At 38.5% G+C, this 16,855-nt stretch overlaps 1 protein-coding gene across 3 annotated transcripts in view, besides 1 other annotated feature; it reads right to left on the bottom strand.

Annotated features, from left to right (window-relative positions):
• FANK1 (fibronectin type III and ankyrin repeat domains 1) overlaps positions 1-16,855 on the bottom strand; it is a 113,029-nt gene that overhangs the window by 64,866 nt on the left and 31,308 nt on the right. The gene's annotated exons all lie outside the window — the stretch shown is intronic.
• Positions 9,776-10,276: an enhancer, noted in NCBI's record as "H3K4me1 hESC enhancer chr10:127623020-127623520 (GRCh37/hg19 assembly coordinates)". NCBI's record gives its function as "activates a minimal SCP1, AML or CMV promoter by ChIP-STARR-seq in primed H9 embryonic stem cells {active_cell/tissue: H9 hESC(primed)}" and the evidence as "EXISTENCE:reporter gene assay evidence [ECO:0000049][PMID:30033119]".

Genomic DNA, 16,855 nt, shown 5'->3' with positions numbered 1-16,855 from the left:
GGAGCATGTCCTTAAGGCACAGATCGCTCATGCTATTGTTTGTAGCTTAAGAATGCCTTTAAGCGGTTTTCCACCCTGGGCAGGCCAGGTGTTCCTTGCCCTCATTCCTGTAAACCCACAACCTTCCAGCTTGGGCGTTAGGGCCATTATGAACATGTTACAGTGCTGCAGAGATTGTTTATGGCCAGTTTTGGGGCTGGTTTATCGCCAGATTTTGGGGGGCCTGCTCCCAACAGGAAGGTATTGAATTGTTAAGTGAAAAAGGTTTATTCATCAGAGATCACAATGAAAAAGTTGTGTTCTTCAAGTAACAGAAATTTCTAGGAATCACCCAATTGATTTCTAGATTTGATCAATTTTTACATGAGTGCCTGGAAAACTATAAAGGTAGAAGGACAAATATGACTTTTATTTATCCAAAATAGCTCATGGAGAATTAATCAAAATAAGGGAAAATATGTACAAAATAAAGTGGGAACTCAAATAAGTAAATAAACCAAACATCAAATATTGCTACAAATTCTCCAGTAGCAAATTGCTTTATGTATGCCATTATCGTGTGCTACTCTAAAACAGAAAAATCATGTTCTACAGCAAACCAACTTTTAACTGTCAAAATTCATCTGAAATTAAAGTATACACAAGAATAATTCAAACGCAGTTTTGTCTTTTCAACAGAATGAAATAAGTTCTGAGCAACTTTAACCTTATGTTGCATTTGCAATCAGTCACGTAAAAACGTGACTTTTAGAAGACGTGAAGATTCCACAATGCTTTCACATTAGTAAGTACTTAAAATATATTCTGGACGCAGTTCGCTTTATCACTTAGTTATCCCTGGGAAAGCTGCCTTCCCAGTCCCTAAAGTTGCTGACTACTTCAGATTTTCCAAGTTACACGTTCTTCTTGAATTTATCTTTTACATTACATGTAGTATTTTAATCACCCATGCCAACTTAGTATTCAAGGGTCTAAGGATAGTGAGGTGGTTTGCCCATTATAAAGCATTGAGATCTTGTAGCACAAAGTACACAACATCTTAAAGACTCTAAAATATATTTTCTGACTCAGAAGGAACACCTGAGCATGAATAGAGAGTTCATTCAAAATTTAATAAACATTGCACAAACGGTCACATATTGTATAATTCTATGTATACAAAATGTCCAGAATAGGCAAATCAGACAAAGTAGATTAGTGGTTGCAAAGGGCTGGAAGAAGAGGAAAAGGGAGAATGGTTTCTAATGGTTATGAGATTTCTCCTGGGGGTGATGAAAATGTTGAAGATAGATAATGGTGATTATTGTACAACTTTGTGAATATAATAAAAAGCCACCGAATCATGCATATTTTTAAAGGGTGAGTTTTGTGGTATATTAATTATATGTCAATATTTTAAAAGTTACCAAAGGTCAAATATGCCATTTTAACTGCAATTTAGAAAAACAATTTTAGGCTAGTTTAGAAAAAAAAATGAAAAATGTCTGATTCCTGATTTAGACATATGAAGAGTTTAACAGAAAATACAGAAAATTACTGGACTATGAAACAATGGTGATTAAAGATGAACAATGAAATTAATAGAAATTATTCTGACATCAAGCAGCAAATTATAGTCTGGGCACAGTGGCTCACGCCTGTAATCCTAGCACTTTGGGAAGCCGCAGTGGGCAGATCACGAGGTCAGAAGTTCGAGACCAGCCTGGCCAATATGGTGAAACCCCATCTCTATTAAAAATACAAAAATTAGCCCGGTGTGGTGGCACACGCTTGTAATCCCAGCTACTCAGGAGGCTGAGGCAGGAGAATTGCTGGAACCCGGGAGGCAGATGTTGCAGTGAGCTGAGATCATGCCATTGCACTCTAGCCTGGGTGACAGAACAAGACTCCATTTCAAAAAAAAAAAAAAAAAAGCAAATTATAAAAAAATTTCAGATCTAATGAAAAGCAGTAATTAAAGACACAAACTTCAAATAGAAGTAGCAAATAAGCTTGTAGATTTGATAATTCAGTTAGTAAAATGAAAAATATAACAGGTGTATCAAGCAGTCGATTAATAAAAATATTTTTCTGAATTTAAGTTGGTAATGTTTTATATTTGTCAGCTTTTAAATATTTGTAATTTATTTTCTTGTTTTTAGTTAATGTTAGCTTTTCTACCTAATTTCGTTTTCTTAATTTTGTATTCTTTTCGTTAAAAAATGTCCTCCTCCTCAAATCGTTTAAGATTTGCTGAGAGTTCTCAGCTTGTCCAGATTGGGGAAAAAACTCTAAAATTGTTATAAAATGTTAAGCCTATGAAGTCAGGGAGAATTGACATCTTTATAAGAATAAATTGTTCTTTTAAATTCTGGAATATACGTGCAGGACGTGCAGGTTTGTTACGTAGGTAAACATGTCCCATGTGGTTTGCTGCACCTATCAATCCATCGAGAATAAATTTTTCTAAGAACAAATTGTGACTTTTTGTTCAAGTTTCCTTTGTGGCTCTCGGCAGACTCTCAATGTCTTCACAATGCTCTTGCACACTGCCCATGAAATTTACTCCTAGCATTTTATCTAGGAAGTTCCCTTCCTATATTAACTCTGATTACTCTTTATATACAGAGGCTATTTCTTATTTAGTTTTCCTTCATCATTATCATGACATTTCACATCAGAAGGGTGTGTGGACCCCATCCCTAATAAAATGTAAAAGGCACATGCTGGGAACCAGCCCCCATCTGAAGGCCAGAACATTACTAATACCAGTGGCCCCACTTGTGTGCTGGCCCCATCCTATTGCCCTGAATAACCCCCAAAGACACCACCACCAGTTTTGCATACATTATCCCTATGATTTATAAAAGTGAAATAACATTGTAATATGAATTCTTCCGTATTGTTTGGCTTTGCTGCTACAATGCTAATGCCACTATAACAATGGTATCAAATGGTATGATTTTGAGACTTGTTTTATTAAATGTCATGTTACTGGGATATATCAAGTTGTGAGTAGCCGTGGTTCACACTTTTCCATTGCTGTGTTATATTTCATCATGTGAATATACCATAATGTACTCAGGCTCCTCACAATGGGCATGTGGTCATTTCTAGGTTTTTGCTACTGCAGACCATACAGCTATGAACATTCTTGGTTTCTTGGTATCCACATGAAGGTTTCTTTGTGGCCTAGACATAGCAGTGAAATCTATTAGTCAATAGCTACACAAATATTCAAACTTATGTGATAATGTCAAATTGTTTCTCGAAGTGATTATACTAATTTCCACTTTCCCCAGAAGTATGAGTTTCCACTGACCCATAATCCATTATCAGACTTAATTATTGCCAGTCCTGTAGATGCAAAATCGTATCTTACGATGGTCTTATTTCCCTGTTTTCCAAACAGCTTTAATGCCTTCCCGTGATTTTATTTGCCAAATTGCTTCTTCTGCAAAATGTCTATTGTCCATATGTTGCTTGTTTTTTCACTGGATGTATTTTAATTGACTTGTAGAAATTCTTTATGTAGTCTGAAATCTAATCCTGTTAGATATGTTGCAAATATAGAACTTCTGCAGGATTGTGTCTTATTATTTCACTTTCTTTACAGTTTACCTTTGTGAAAATGTTATTTCCTATCCCAAGTTTAGAAATGTATTTTCTGACTCTAGGGAAAAGAGAGATCAGACTGTTACCATGTCTATGTAGAAAAGGAACACATAAGAAACTGCATTTTGATCTGTACCCTGAACAATTGTTTTGCCTTGAGATGCTATTAATCTGTAACTTTAGCCCCAACCTTGTGCTCACAGAAACATGTGTTGTGTGGAATCAAGGTTTAAGGGATCTAGGGCTGTGCAGGATGTGCCTTGTTAACAATATGTTTACAGGCAGTATGCTTGGTAAAAGTCATCGCCATTCTCCGTTCTTGATTAAGCAGGGGGCACAACGCACTGCGGAAAGCCGCAGGTACCTCTGCCCAAGAAAGCCTGGGTACTGGCCAAGGTTTCTCCCCACTGAGACAGCCTGAGATATGGCCTCGTGCGAAGGGAAAGACCTGACCATCCCCCAGCCCGACACCTGTAAATGATCCGTGCTGAGGAGGAATAGTAAAAGAGGAAGGCCTCTTGAGGTTGAGACAAGAGGAAGGCCTCTGTCTCCTGCGTGCCCCTGGGAACAGAATGTCTCGGTATAAAATCCGATCGTACATTTGTTCTATTCTGAGATAGGAGAAAACCGCCCTGTGGCTGGAGGCGAGATATGCTGGCGGCAATGCTGCTCTGTTACTCTTTACTACACTGAGATGTTTGGGTGAAGAAAAGCATAAATCTGGCCTACGTGCACATCCAGGCATAGTATCTTCCCTTGAACTTATTTGTGACACAGAGTTCCTTTGGTCACATGTTTTCTTGCTTTCTCCCCACTATCACCCTGTTCTCCTGCCACATTCCTCTGGCTGAGATAGTGAAAACAGTAATCAATAAATACTGAGGAAACTCAGAGACCGGTGCTGGTACAGGTCCTCCGTATGCTGAGCACCGGTCTCCTGGGCCCACTGTTCTTTCTCTATACTTTGTCTCTGTGTCTTATTTATTTTCTCAGTCTCTTGTCCCACCTGATGAGAAATACCCACAGGTGTGGAGCGACAGGCTACCCCTTCACTGACATATCTTCCAAAAGTTTTTGTTTTGCCTTTCACATTTAAATGGATTAAGATTAAGAGGTGGAGGTTGCAGTGAGCCGAGATCATGACACTTCACTCCAGCCTGGGCAACAGAGCGAGACTCTGTCTCAAAAAAAAAAAAAATAATAATAATAATAATGACAGTAGAAATTATTTATTTTATTGACCCTGTCTTTAATAAGAATGCTTCTAGGTTCTGCTACCTTAAAGCATGATGTTAGCATTTAGAATGAAATATATATAATTTTATTATGTAAGGCAATCATCTGTATTTTCCTACTTTAAAAGTATTTTTAAACTAGAAAGGATTTAGACTTATGAATGCCTCTTCATCATTCTTTGGATTTATTAATACCATGAGTTATATTAACAGGTTTCCTATTAGGGAACCATAGATGACAAAATGGTAAATTAGTATCCTTAATTTAAAGAGATACGGGGATTAGTCACTGCACAAAAATATTTAAAATGCCCTGAAATCACTGTTCTAACTTATTTCAAAAATTCTATACCTACAGAAAGATAAAAGAATATTGCAATGAATTCTTAAAATGTTGCCACATTTGCTTTATTCTGATATGTGTACACTTTTATTTTTCACAGAACCATTTAAGTTACAAATATCATAATGCTTCTCTAAGTACTTTAGCATGTATATCCTGAGACAGTCTCCTATATAACCCAATACCATTACACTGAAAAGCTTGACTTAATATTATCGAATATGTAGTCCATATTCAAATTTCTCCCAATTGTCCTTTTTCTTTTTAGCTAGGTTTCTTTTTTTCTCTGCAATCCATCAGATTCAATGAAGAATCATAAACTGCATTTAGCTGGTGTGTCTGTCTCCTTTATTCTAGAACAGATGCCCATCTTTCGTTGTCTTTCACATTCACATTTAAGAGTCCAGGCCAGTTGTGTTCTGGAATATGCTACAATTTGTCTGATTGTATGTGCATAATTATATTCAAATTAAACACTTTTAGCAAAAAGAATACATAGATGATACTGTATATTTTCCACTACATCATATCAGGTGGCATGTGATGTTGGTGTGTTTCATTATTAGTGATTCTAAGCTTGATGACTTGGTTACAGTGGAGTTTGCCAGATCTCTCCACTGCGAAGGTATTAACATTATTCTTTTTGATGCTCAAATGCTTCCAAATTTGGCTAGTGGGAGACCCTTCAAGCTGGTTCTGTATACTTTTACCACTCCCTAGAGTTTTGGCAGGGGGGTGTTTGTTTTTTGAGACAGAGTGTCACTGTCTCCCAGACTGGAGTGCAGTGGTGCAATCTCGGCTCACTGCAACCTCCGCCTCCCAGGTTCAAGCGATTCTCCTGCCTCAGCCTCCCAAGTAGCCAGGACTACAGGCACCTGCCACCATGTCCGGCTAATTTTTGTATTTTTAGTAGGGACAAGGTTTCACCATGTTGGCCAGGCTGGTCTCGAACTCCTGACCTCAAGTGATCCGCCCACCTCGGCCTCCCAAAGTGCTGGGATTACAGGTGTAAACCACCGTGTCAGCCACTCCCCAGAGATGTTTAAAGCACCTCTTTGCTTTCGTGGCACACCGAATATTCTAGGCTCACCTTGTAGTTTTCATGCCCCAATACCAGGATCATCCAATTTGCTAAGCCATTTCTCCTACTTCTGTTAATGGGAAATATATTTAGCAACTGAGGTCTCACACTGTGTGCTCATTCCTACTGGGCAATCATTGTTTCTAGACTTTTCAGTGGACAGTCAGGATTTTTTTTTTAATCATAAATTCATACTATTCACTCCAGTTCAAATCCAACATGACTATATTGTTTTCTTCCTTCCATATTTACATATTCTTTCTTCCGCAGTGAGAATCCTGTTTTCCAAAAGCATCGATATAGTTTCTCAATTGTTCAATCCCAGAATACATACAAAATAGTATCAAAACTACCAAGAGACTGAGTAATGTTCAGTAGGCCTTTACGGTCTGTGTCTTTAGAATATATATACCAATAAACATATGGAGTCTGAAAAATGTGTTTACAAGTTCAATGAATATCTGTGTGGCTTGTCAATAAACTAGGTCTACTTGCTTCTGTTTGTATGATATTTCAGTTTTTTCCGTCTTTGTAAATGTTTAGTTTTGAATCGGTACAACATTAGCGTGGTTTAGCAGCTACCTGTTAAGCGTGTTAAAGTTACTTTTATAGGCAGCTTTAAGCCCCGTTCCCTCACCTATCCCTTCCACCTCATTCCCACTCACCTCCTGTTGTGGGTATTTCATTTCATTCATGTTTCATTTATCCTTTTGCTTATTTTTTGCAAAACCTATATACTATAAATATACATATGCACAAAAGGTATATACATCATTCTAGCTATACCTTTTGCAGTTTTCATTTTATATATCATATAAAATCACTCCCCATCAGTTCACTGAGATCATCCTATTTATTTTTTAATATAGTTGCGTGGTACTCCATTGTCCATACCATAGTTTATTCCATCAGACTCCTTCATATGGGAAATACCCTGAAATCTTAAAGCTTATACATGAAAAAAGTTGATAGAGGTCTTTCCAAATATGACATTCTAAACATTGACTCAATACCAAAAACAAGTTGTGAAGCAGAATCTTTTTGAAAATGTCTGTAATAAACTACGATCCAAATTAAAACCACAATGACAAACAGCTTTCACAGGTACTACAAAGTCTAAAATTAAAAGGACAGAAAATACCAAGTGTCAGTAAAGAGATGGAACAGTGAGATCTCTCATACAATCATGCAATGTATTAAAAGAACTTCCTTACACTGTGGGTGAGATTATAAGTCACGACCTTGAACAACTGTTTGGCAATATCTAGCCAAAGTCAGTCACATACATACCATATAACCTAACATTTCCACTTTTAGCGATACACTCAACAGAAATACATACATATGTTTACCAACAAACATGTACTAGAATGCTCATAGAGGTATTATTTTATTTTTTTTTTTGAGACGGAGTTTGGCTTTTGTTGTTGCCAGGCTGGAGGGCAATGGTGCGACCTCTGCTCACTGCAACCTCCGCCATCCGGGTTCAAGCGATTATCCTGCCTCAGCCTCCGGAGTAGCTGGGATTACAGGCATGCACCACCACGCCTGGCTAATTTTGTATTTTTAGTGGAGATGGGGTTTCTCCATGTTTGTCAGGCTGGTCTCCAACTCCCAACCTCGGGTGATCCACCCACCTCAGCCTCCCTAAGTGCTCGGATTACAGACGTGAGCCACCACGCCCAGCCTAGAGGTACTATTCATAATAGCCAAAAACAAGAAACTATACAAATGTTTATCAATACTGGAATAAATAAATGGTGCTATATTAATGGAACAGCAATGAGAAAGAAGGATCTTCAACTATCTACAACAATATGGATTAATCTTACAAACATAATGTTGGGGAAAATAAGTCAGATCCAAATAAGTACATACTGTATACTTCTATTTACACAGAGTTCAAAAGCTGGCAAAACTAACCCATGGTGTTAGAAGTCAGGGCTGTGGTTTCCTTGGCAAGCATGGAGATTGAATCCGGAAAGGAAGAAGAGGAGGTACTTCTGGGGTTGTGGCAATTTTTTTTTTTTTTTTTTTTTTTGAGACAGCATCTCGCTCCAGTGGGTTCACTTTGTGAAAATTCAGCAAGCCATAAACTTATGATATGTGCATTTTTCTGTATATCCTTTTTATTTCTATAAAAAGTTATGTTTAAATTTCAGTTAAGGAATGAAAAAAAGGACAAAAAATAAATCACTAAATTCAACTAAATACCTACAAACAAATGGAAAGACTATGATGGAAATCAGGATTATTGTCTTAGATTCAAAAGTGTCAAGCTATTAGGTCAAAATTATAGCCTTATGAAGTCTGGTGTTTGAGCTTTAAATTATACATTTTGCACAGTATTCTCTGATGTTTCCATTTGTCCTAATATAAAAATGTTTCTACATATATACTAACAAGTAAAACTGATGCTCCAGCAATATGTACCATGCTTTTCCTGTAGTTGAAAATCTACCATCAAACATGCTACTACCTAATGACGAATTCAGAGAAGGTAAAGAAAGTATGTAAACCTTTCCCTCACTGGTGGCCCTTATTAGCTTAAAAATGTAGTCTTCATATAATATAGCAAGACATTTATGCAAGTCTAACATTTTTAGACTAAAGAAAAAAGTGTAATTACTATATTAATAGAAAGACTTAATTATCTTTCTATTCCAGCCACTGAAGTTATTATGACAGAATTGTTATACAAAGGTAACATAATAACATGTAGCCAAAATATATAGGAGAAGATATTATAGAAATATATTGGACAATTAGTTAATAAATGTTATTTTTCAAATGTTATGACATTTGTGACATTGGTCAGCTTTTTATATTTTTAATTATACTTTTTGGCATTCTAAAAGACAGATTTATAATCTTTTTTGTGTTTATAATCAGCATTCTTTTTCTTAAAGACAACTCCCCAAACTGCTTCAGAATCACAAAATCTTGATTTGCCCCAATTGAGACTGAAGTTCCCAACAAGACTTTAGTTTCTTATCACATCAAATATATATTAGATGATAACCCTGCTGTCTTATACCACCTGGCAACTAGGAAGTAAGAGACAAAATTAGTTGAAGGAAGTCATTCATATATTCATTCATCAAGTAAATATGTAAGGCTTCTGGATGCCAGGTGCCATGTAAAGCTATGAGGATACAACAGTGAGCTCAGATGCGGCCCCTGCCTTCAGGAAGCTTATAGTTCCACAGGGCAGAGAGATAACAATCAGATAATCCCCAGTTACAAACTGCTGTCGATGCCACGAAGAAATATTATGAAGATGACCACAAAGTAAAATACAAAAATAGGCTGACTTTCCGTGAAGGAATGAATGGGGGGATGTCCCAAGACAGGGTGTCTCTATCAGAGTAGGAGGAGATGTCTGGAGAAACAAGCAGAGAGATGAAGGCCAGCAGCTCTGCCCACACCCCCAGGCAGAAGAGATTGGGGCATGCACAGCATAGCCTCCACCCTGCTGAACTGCAGCACTGAGCAGACCTGGGGAAGAAACAGCATCGTGCTGGGAGCCACAGCTCAGCCAGGCCCATGGCACCATCCTGCAGGGCAGGCACCAGCTGCTCCCGAGCAGCAGCAACTGGCAATTCTAGCAAGACACTGTTGTCACCTGATGATTCAGAGTTGTGAGGACAGCCAGACTGGGATAGAATCCTGGTTCTGCCACATTCCAACTGTCTTTCTCTTCGTGATTTGCAAAAAAAAAAAAAAAAAAAAAAAAAAAAAAAAAAAAACGGTAGGGGTACAGGTGGTGGGAACTGAGTTGCTGCATGCTAGGCTGTTAGGTGCCCTGCACAGAGCTCAGTACACAATGCTAAATAAATGGCAGCGGCTCTCATCATGGACCTCTCCCACCTCCTCCTCCAGTCTGTTCTGTCTCTTCGACTTGGTTTGGGGACCAGCCTTAATTCACGCAGGACTGGAATTCTGCCCACAGCTCAGTCCCCATAACTAGCCAGACATCCCGGAGCCTTCATCTGCCTGCCCAACATTGCCACCTACTGCCCAAGGCTGGATTCCCTTGGAGCCACGCTCAGCTCAGCCCTCAGCCAGTGCTATAAGGTAGATGCTGCCCCAAAACAGGCAGAATTATAATAATACGTGTTTAGGGATATATTCATGTACAGTAAACTATAAAGAAAAGCCAAGTAATAAAACGCAAACTATCTTTCAATTATAAAAACAGTCTTCCTGCTGCAGTAGAAGGGTCACTTTAGTAAAGAAATTAACATTTCTATTATGAAACTTTAAATACAGCACAATTTTAATATGTTTTTCTTCCACATCACATTATGTTGAAATTAGCTATTTAACTGATTGTATGCATTTTAAGAGCAGGACTGTGTTTTATTATACTTATTTCCAAAACCAAACAAAATATAGAAAAATCAACCAATGAAACTTGCAGATGCCAATAAAACAAGCCTCAATAAATTTAAGAAGATTGAAATTATATCAAGCACTCTCTCAGATAACAGTGGAATAAAATCGAAAATCAACTCCAAAACGAACCTTCAAAACAATGCAAATACACGGAAGTTAAGTAACCTGTTCCTGAATGAGCACTGGGTCAAAAACGAAAACAAGATGGAAATTTTAAAATTCTTCAAACTGAATGACAATAATGACACAACCTATCAAAGCCTCTTGGATACAGCAAAGGTGGTGCTAAGAGGAAAGTTCATAGCCCTGAACACCTAAATCAAAAAGATTGAAAAAGTGCAAACTGACACTCTAAGGTCACACCTCAAGGAACTAGAGAGCCAAGAACAAACCAAACCCAAACCCAGCAGAAGAAAGGAAATTACCAAGATCCGAGCAGAACTAAATGAAATTGAAACAAACAAAAAAGACGAAACATAAATGAAACAAAAAGCTGGTTCTTTGAAAAGATAAATAAAATTGATAGACCATTAGCAAGATTAACCAAGAAGAGAAGAGAGAAAATCCAGACAACCTCATTAAGAAATGAAACAGGAGATATTACAACTGACAACACAAATACAAAAGCTCATTCAAGGCTACTGTGAACACCTTTACACACATAAGTAGAAAACCTAGAAAAGACGGATAAATCCCTGGAAAAAATACAACCCTCCTAGCTTAAATCAGGAAGAATTAGATACCCTGAACAGACCAATAACGAGCAGCAAGATTGAAATGGTAATTTAAAAATTACCAACAAAAAAAAAGTCTAGGACCAGACAGATTCACAGCAGAATTCTACCAGATATTCAAAGAAGAATTGGTACCAAGTCACCCTAATACCAAAATCAGGAAACGACATAACCAGAAAAGAAAACTACAGACCGATATCCTTGATGAACATAGATGCTAAAATCCTTAACAAAATACTAGCTAACCAAATCCAACAACATATCAAAAAGATAATCCACCATGATCAAATGGATTTCATACCAGGGATGCAGGGATGGTTTAACATATGCAAGTCAATAAATGTGGTACACCACACAAACAAAATTTAAAAAAAAATGACATGATCTCAATAGATGCAGAAAATGCATTCGACAAAATCCAGCATCACTTTATGATTAAAACTCTCAGCAAACATGGTACACAAGGGACATACCTCATGTAATAAAAGCCATCAATGACAAACCCACAGCCAACATAATACTAAATGGGGAAAAGTTGAAAGCACTCCCTCTGAGAAGGGGAACAAGACAAGGATGCCCAATTTCACCACTCCTCAACATAGTACTGTAAGTCCTACCCAGAGAAATCAGACAAAAGAAAGGGCATCCAAATCGGTAAAGAGGAAGTCAAACTGTTATCGTTTGCTGATGATATGACTGTTTACCTTGAAAACCCTAAAGGCTCCTCCAGAAAGCTCCTACAACTGATAAAAGAATTCAGCAAGTTTTTCCGATGCAAGATTAATGTACACAAATCAATGTACCCAAATCAGTAGCTCTTCTATACACCAACAGCGACCAAGGGGAGAATCAAATCAAGAACTCACCCCCTTTTACAACAGCTGCAAAAAAACTAAAATACTTAGGAATATACCTAACCAAGGGGGCAAAATACCTCTACAAGTAAAACTACAAAACACCTCTGAAATAAATCATAGATGACACAAACAAATGGAAACACATCCCATGCTCATGGATGGGTACGATCAATATTGTGAAAATGATGATACTGCCAAAAGCAATCTACAAATTCAACACAATGCCCATCAAAATACCACCATTATTCTTCACAGAATTAGAAAAAACAAATTCTAAAATTCATATGGAACCAAAAAAGAGCCCGCAGAGCCAAAGCAAGACTAAGCAAAAAGAACAAATCTGGAGGCATCACACTACCTGATTTCAAACTATACTATAAGGCCATAGTCACCAAAACAGCATGGTACTGGTATAAAAACAGGTACATAGAAACAATGAAACAGAATAGAGAACCCAAAAATAAGCCCAAACACTTATAACCAACTGATCTTCAACAAACCAAACAAAGTGGGGAAAAGACACCCTTTTCAACAAATGGTGCTGGGCTAATTGGTTATGCACATGTGGGAGAATGAAGCTGGATCCTTATCTCTTACCTTATACAAAAATCAACTCAAGATGGATTGAGGACTTAAACCTAAGATCTGAAACTGTAAAAATTCTAGAAGATAACATTGGAAAACCCTTCTAGACATTGGCTTAGCAAGGATTTCATGACCAAGAACCCAAAAGCAAATGCAATAAAAACAAAGATAAATAGTTGGGACTTAATTAAACTAATGAGCTTTTGCATGGCAAAAGAACAGTCAGCAGAGTAAATAGACAACCCACAGAGTGGGAGAAAATCTTCACAATCTATACATCTGACGAAGGACTAATATCCAGAATCTACAACAAACTCAAATCAGTAAGAAAAAAACAATCCCATCAAAAAGTGGGCTATGGACATGAATAGACAATTCTCAAAAGAAGACATACAAATGGCCAACTAATATATGAAAAAATGCCCAACATCACTAACGATCAGGGAAATGCAGATCAAAACCACAATGTGATACCACCTTACTCCTGCAAGAAAGGCCATAATCAAAAAATCAAAAAACAGTAGATGCTGGTGTGGGTGCAGTGAACAGGAAACACTTCTACACTGCTGATGGAAATGTAAACTAGTACAACCACTATGGAAAACAGTGTGGAGATTCCTTAAAGAACTAAAAGTAGAACTACCATTTGATCCAGCAATTCCACTACTGGGTATCTACCCAGAGGAAAAGAAGTCATTATTCAAAAAAGATACTTGCACATGCATGTTTATAGCGGCACAATTCACAATTCCAAAATCGTGGAACCAACCCAAATGCCCATCAATCAACAAGTAGACAAATAAACTGTGGTATATTTATGCTACGGCATATTACTCGGTCATAAAAAGGAGTAAATTAACAGCACTTGCAGTGACCTGGATGAGATTGGAGACTATTATTCCAAGTGAAGTAACTCAGGAATGGAAAACCAAAGATTGTATGTTCTCACTGATATGTGGAGCTAAGCTATGAAGATGCAAAGGCATAAGAATGATACAATGGACTTTGGGGACTTGGGGGTAAGGGTGTGGAGGGGGCAAGGAATAAAATATTACAAATAGGTGCAGGGTATACTGCTCGGGTGGTGGGTGCACCAAAATCTCACAAATCACCACTAAAGAACTTACTCATGTAACCAAATACCACCTGTCCCCTAATAACTTGTGGAAAATTTTAAAAAAGGAACTTACAGAGGCCAAAAGCATGCCCATGTATATAGTACTTGATTTATAATAAAGGTGACACTGAAGAACAATGAAGATGGGCCAGGTGCGGTGGCTCCTACTTGTAATCCCAGAACTTCTGGAGGTCAAAGCGGAGGATTGCCTGAGCCCAGTAGATCAAGACCAGCCTGGGAAACATAGCAATACTTCATGTCTAATAAAAAAAAAAAAAAAAAGTTGAGTGTGGCATGTTGTGCCTGCTGTCCCAGCTGCTCAGGAGGCTGAGGTGGGAGGATTGCTTGAGCCAGGGAGGTTGAGGCTGCAGTGAGCCATGATCATGCCACTGCACTCCAGCTGGGGTGACACAGCAAGACTCTGCTCAAAAGAAAAGATGGTCATTTTAGGCCAGGCGTGGTGACTCACACCTGTAATCTCAGCACTTTGAGAGGCCTAGGCAGGCGGGTCACCTGAGATCAGGAGTTCAAGGCCAACATGGTGAAACCCCATCTCTATTAAATATACAAAAATTAGCCAGGCACATGTAATCCCAGCTATTCAGGAGGCTGAGGCAGGAGAATCGCTTGAACCCAGGAGGCGGAGGTTGCAGTCAGCCAGGATCATGCCACTGCACTCCAGCCTGGGTGACAGAGCAAGACCTCGTCACAAAAAAAAGAAAAGATGGTCATTTTAATAAACGGTGCCAAAGTCAACTGGATAGCCATGTGAAAAAGTTTCCTACTTGATACTGAGGCAGGAAAATAGGGTCTGGAGGCAGGCAACATCAGGCCAATTCACACTTCAGCTATAACAGGAAATATCCTCTCCATAAGGTGTATGCCGTAAATTGCCTTGTAACTTTACTTCATCCTCTTCATTTACATAGGGTGTACCTCAAGTAGAGGGTAAACTCATAAAAACTCTGTAACAGGAACTTTGAGCCCCTATGCTCAGAGCTGCTTCCACACTGTGGCGTGTAGTTTCATTTTCTATAAATCCCTTCATTCCTTCCTTGCTTTGTGCGTTTTGTCCAATTCTCTGTTCAAGATGCCAAGAACCTGCACACGCTCCACTGTTAACAATACCATACATAAAAATCCCTTCCAGATAGACAGGCTACATGTGAAAAGGCTTCTAGAAGATAACATAGAATTAGGTAAAATTTTTCATAAAGATCATGTTGGGCTCAAAAAAATACCCCAAAATATGCAGCTGTAGACTTCAACCTGAGAGCACCTGGGAAGCAGCAAATACAGGCAGTGCTTTCTCCGAAGTTTCACTTATTTGATTAAGAGAAGTTCCCCCAGGAGGAATGCTGTTGTCTGTCATAAACCCTGCCCTCCTTCCTGGGATCTACATTAACCAGACTCCTATGGAAACAGAGGAAACTAAAAGGTCTCCACACTCAGGATACCACACCAGACAGACTTTTCACCTATTCTGAAGGCTGCTACCTGAGGGACTTTTTTCTGCATAAGAGCCTTTGTTCCCAGTGCAGTTCCTCCCCTCGCTCTCCCATAGCTTGTCGCCACTACCATCCAGGGGCCTTTAAGCTCCTGTTTCTTTCTGCAGCTCAAATTGCTAGCTAAGCTTCAACCACCTGGCTCTTCTGTGAGTCTCATATTTCGTGGACTCCTGTGCATACGCACATCATCAGGCTGTATGCCACTGTTCCTGCTAATCTGGCTACTGTCAAGTTTATTACAGAGACTCAAATTATCGAACCTTCAGGGAAAAGAGAGAAAGTTCAAAACTCCCCTGCAACCAAAAACGTTATCCATAAAGGAAAATACTGATAAATTGCACTATAGCAAAATTAATCATCTTTATTCAAATAATCATTCAGAGAATACTGGGTAGAATATGACCAAATAACTTTGGTCCATAATATAAGAATTCCTACAAATCAGTAATTTTAAACAAGAAGACAGGTAACCCAATAGAAAGCTAGGCAAGAGACCTGAGCAGGCCCTTTCCCAAAGAGAACAACTAAATGACCAGTATTAAAACATGAGAAGATGCCCTTCCCTACTTAGGCATTACAGAAATTCACATTACAAACACCATGAGATACTACTATACATCTATCAGAAAGACTAAAAGTTTTTAAAAGCTGACACGATAGTAAGTACATGGAAGTGTCAGAGGGGTTTGAAAAAGAGCAACTCCATCTTGAATAGGAGCTGGGAAAAAAGGCTGAGACCTACTGGGCTGCATTCCCAGAGAGTTATAGGATGAAATTCTTAGTTATAGGATGAAATAGGAGGTCAGCACAAGGTACAGGTCATAATGACCTTGCTGATAAAACAGTCTGCAGTAAGGAAGCTGCCTAAAACCTACTAAAACCAAGATGGTGACAAGAGTGACCGCTGGTCTTCCTCCCACTGCTACACTCCCACTAGCACCACGACAGTTTACAAATGCCATGGCAATATCAGAAATTTACCCTACATGGTCTTTAAAAAAAAAAAAAAAAAAGGCACGAATAATCCACCCCTTGTTTAGCATATTATCTAGAAATAACCATAAGAATGGGTAACCAGCAGCCCTCGGGCTGCTCTGTCTATAGAGTAGCCATTCTTTTATTCTTCTACTTTCTTAATAAACCTGCTATCACTTTACTCTATGGACTCGCCCTGAATTCTTTCTTGCACCAGATCCAATAACCCTCTCTTGGAGTCTAGATCAGGACTCCTTTCCTACAACAGAAGGATGGGAAACAACTGGAACATTCATCCACAGCTGGCAGAGTGTAAACTGATATAGCCACTGCAAAATTTTTAGCAGTATCTCCTAAAACTGTACGTACACTCTATAAAGCACTTGCACTCCCAGATACAGATCAAATTAAAGTACACACGTGTGCAC

The sequence above is a fragment of the Homo sapiens genome, chromosome 10, assembly GCF_000001405.40.
Source record: "Homo sapiens chromosome 10, GRCh38.p14 Primary Assembly".
Lineage (NCBI taxonomy): Eukaryota > Metazoa > Chordata > Mammalia > Primates > Hominidae > Homo > Homo sapiens.
This window is presented reverse-complemented; position numbering and strand designations above follow the sequence as displayed.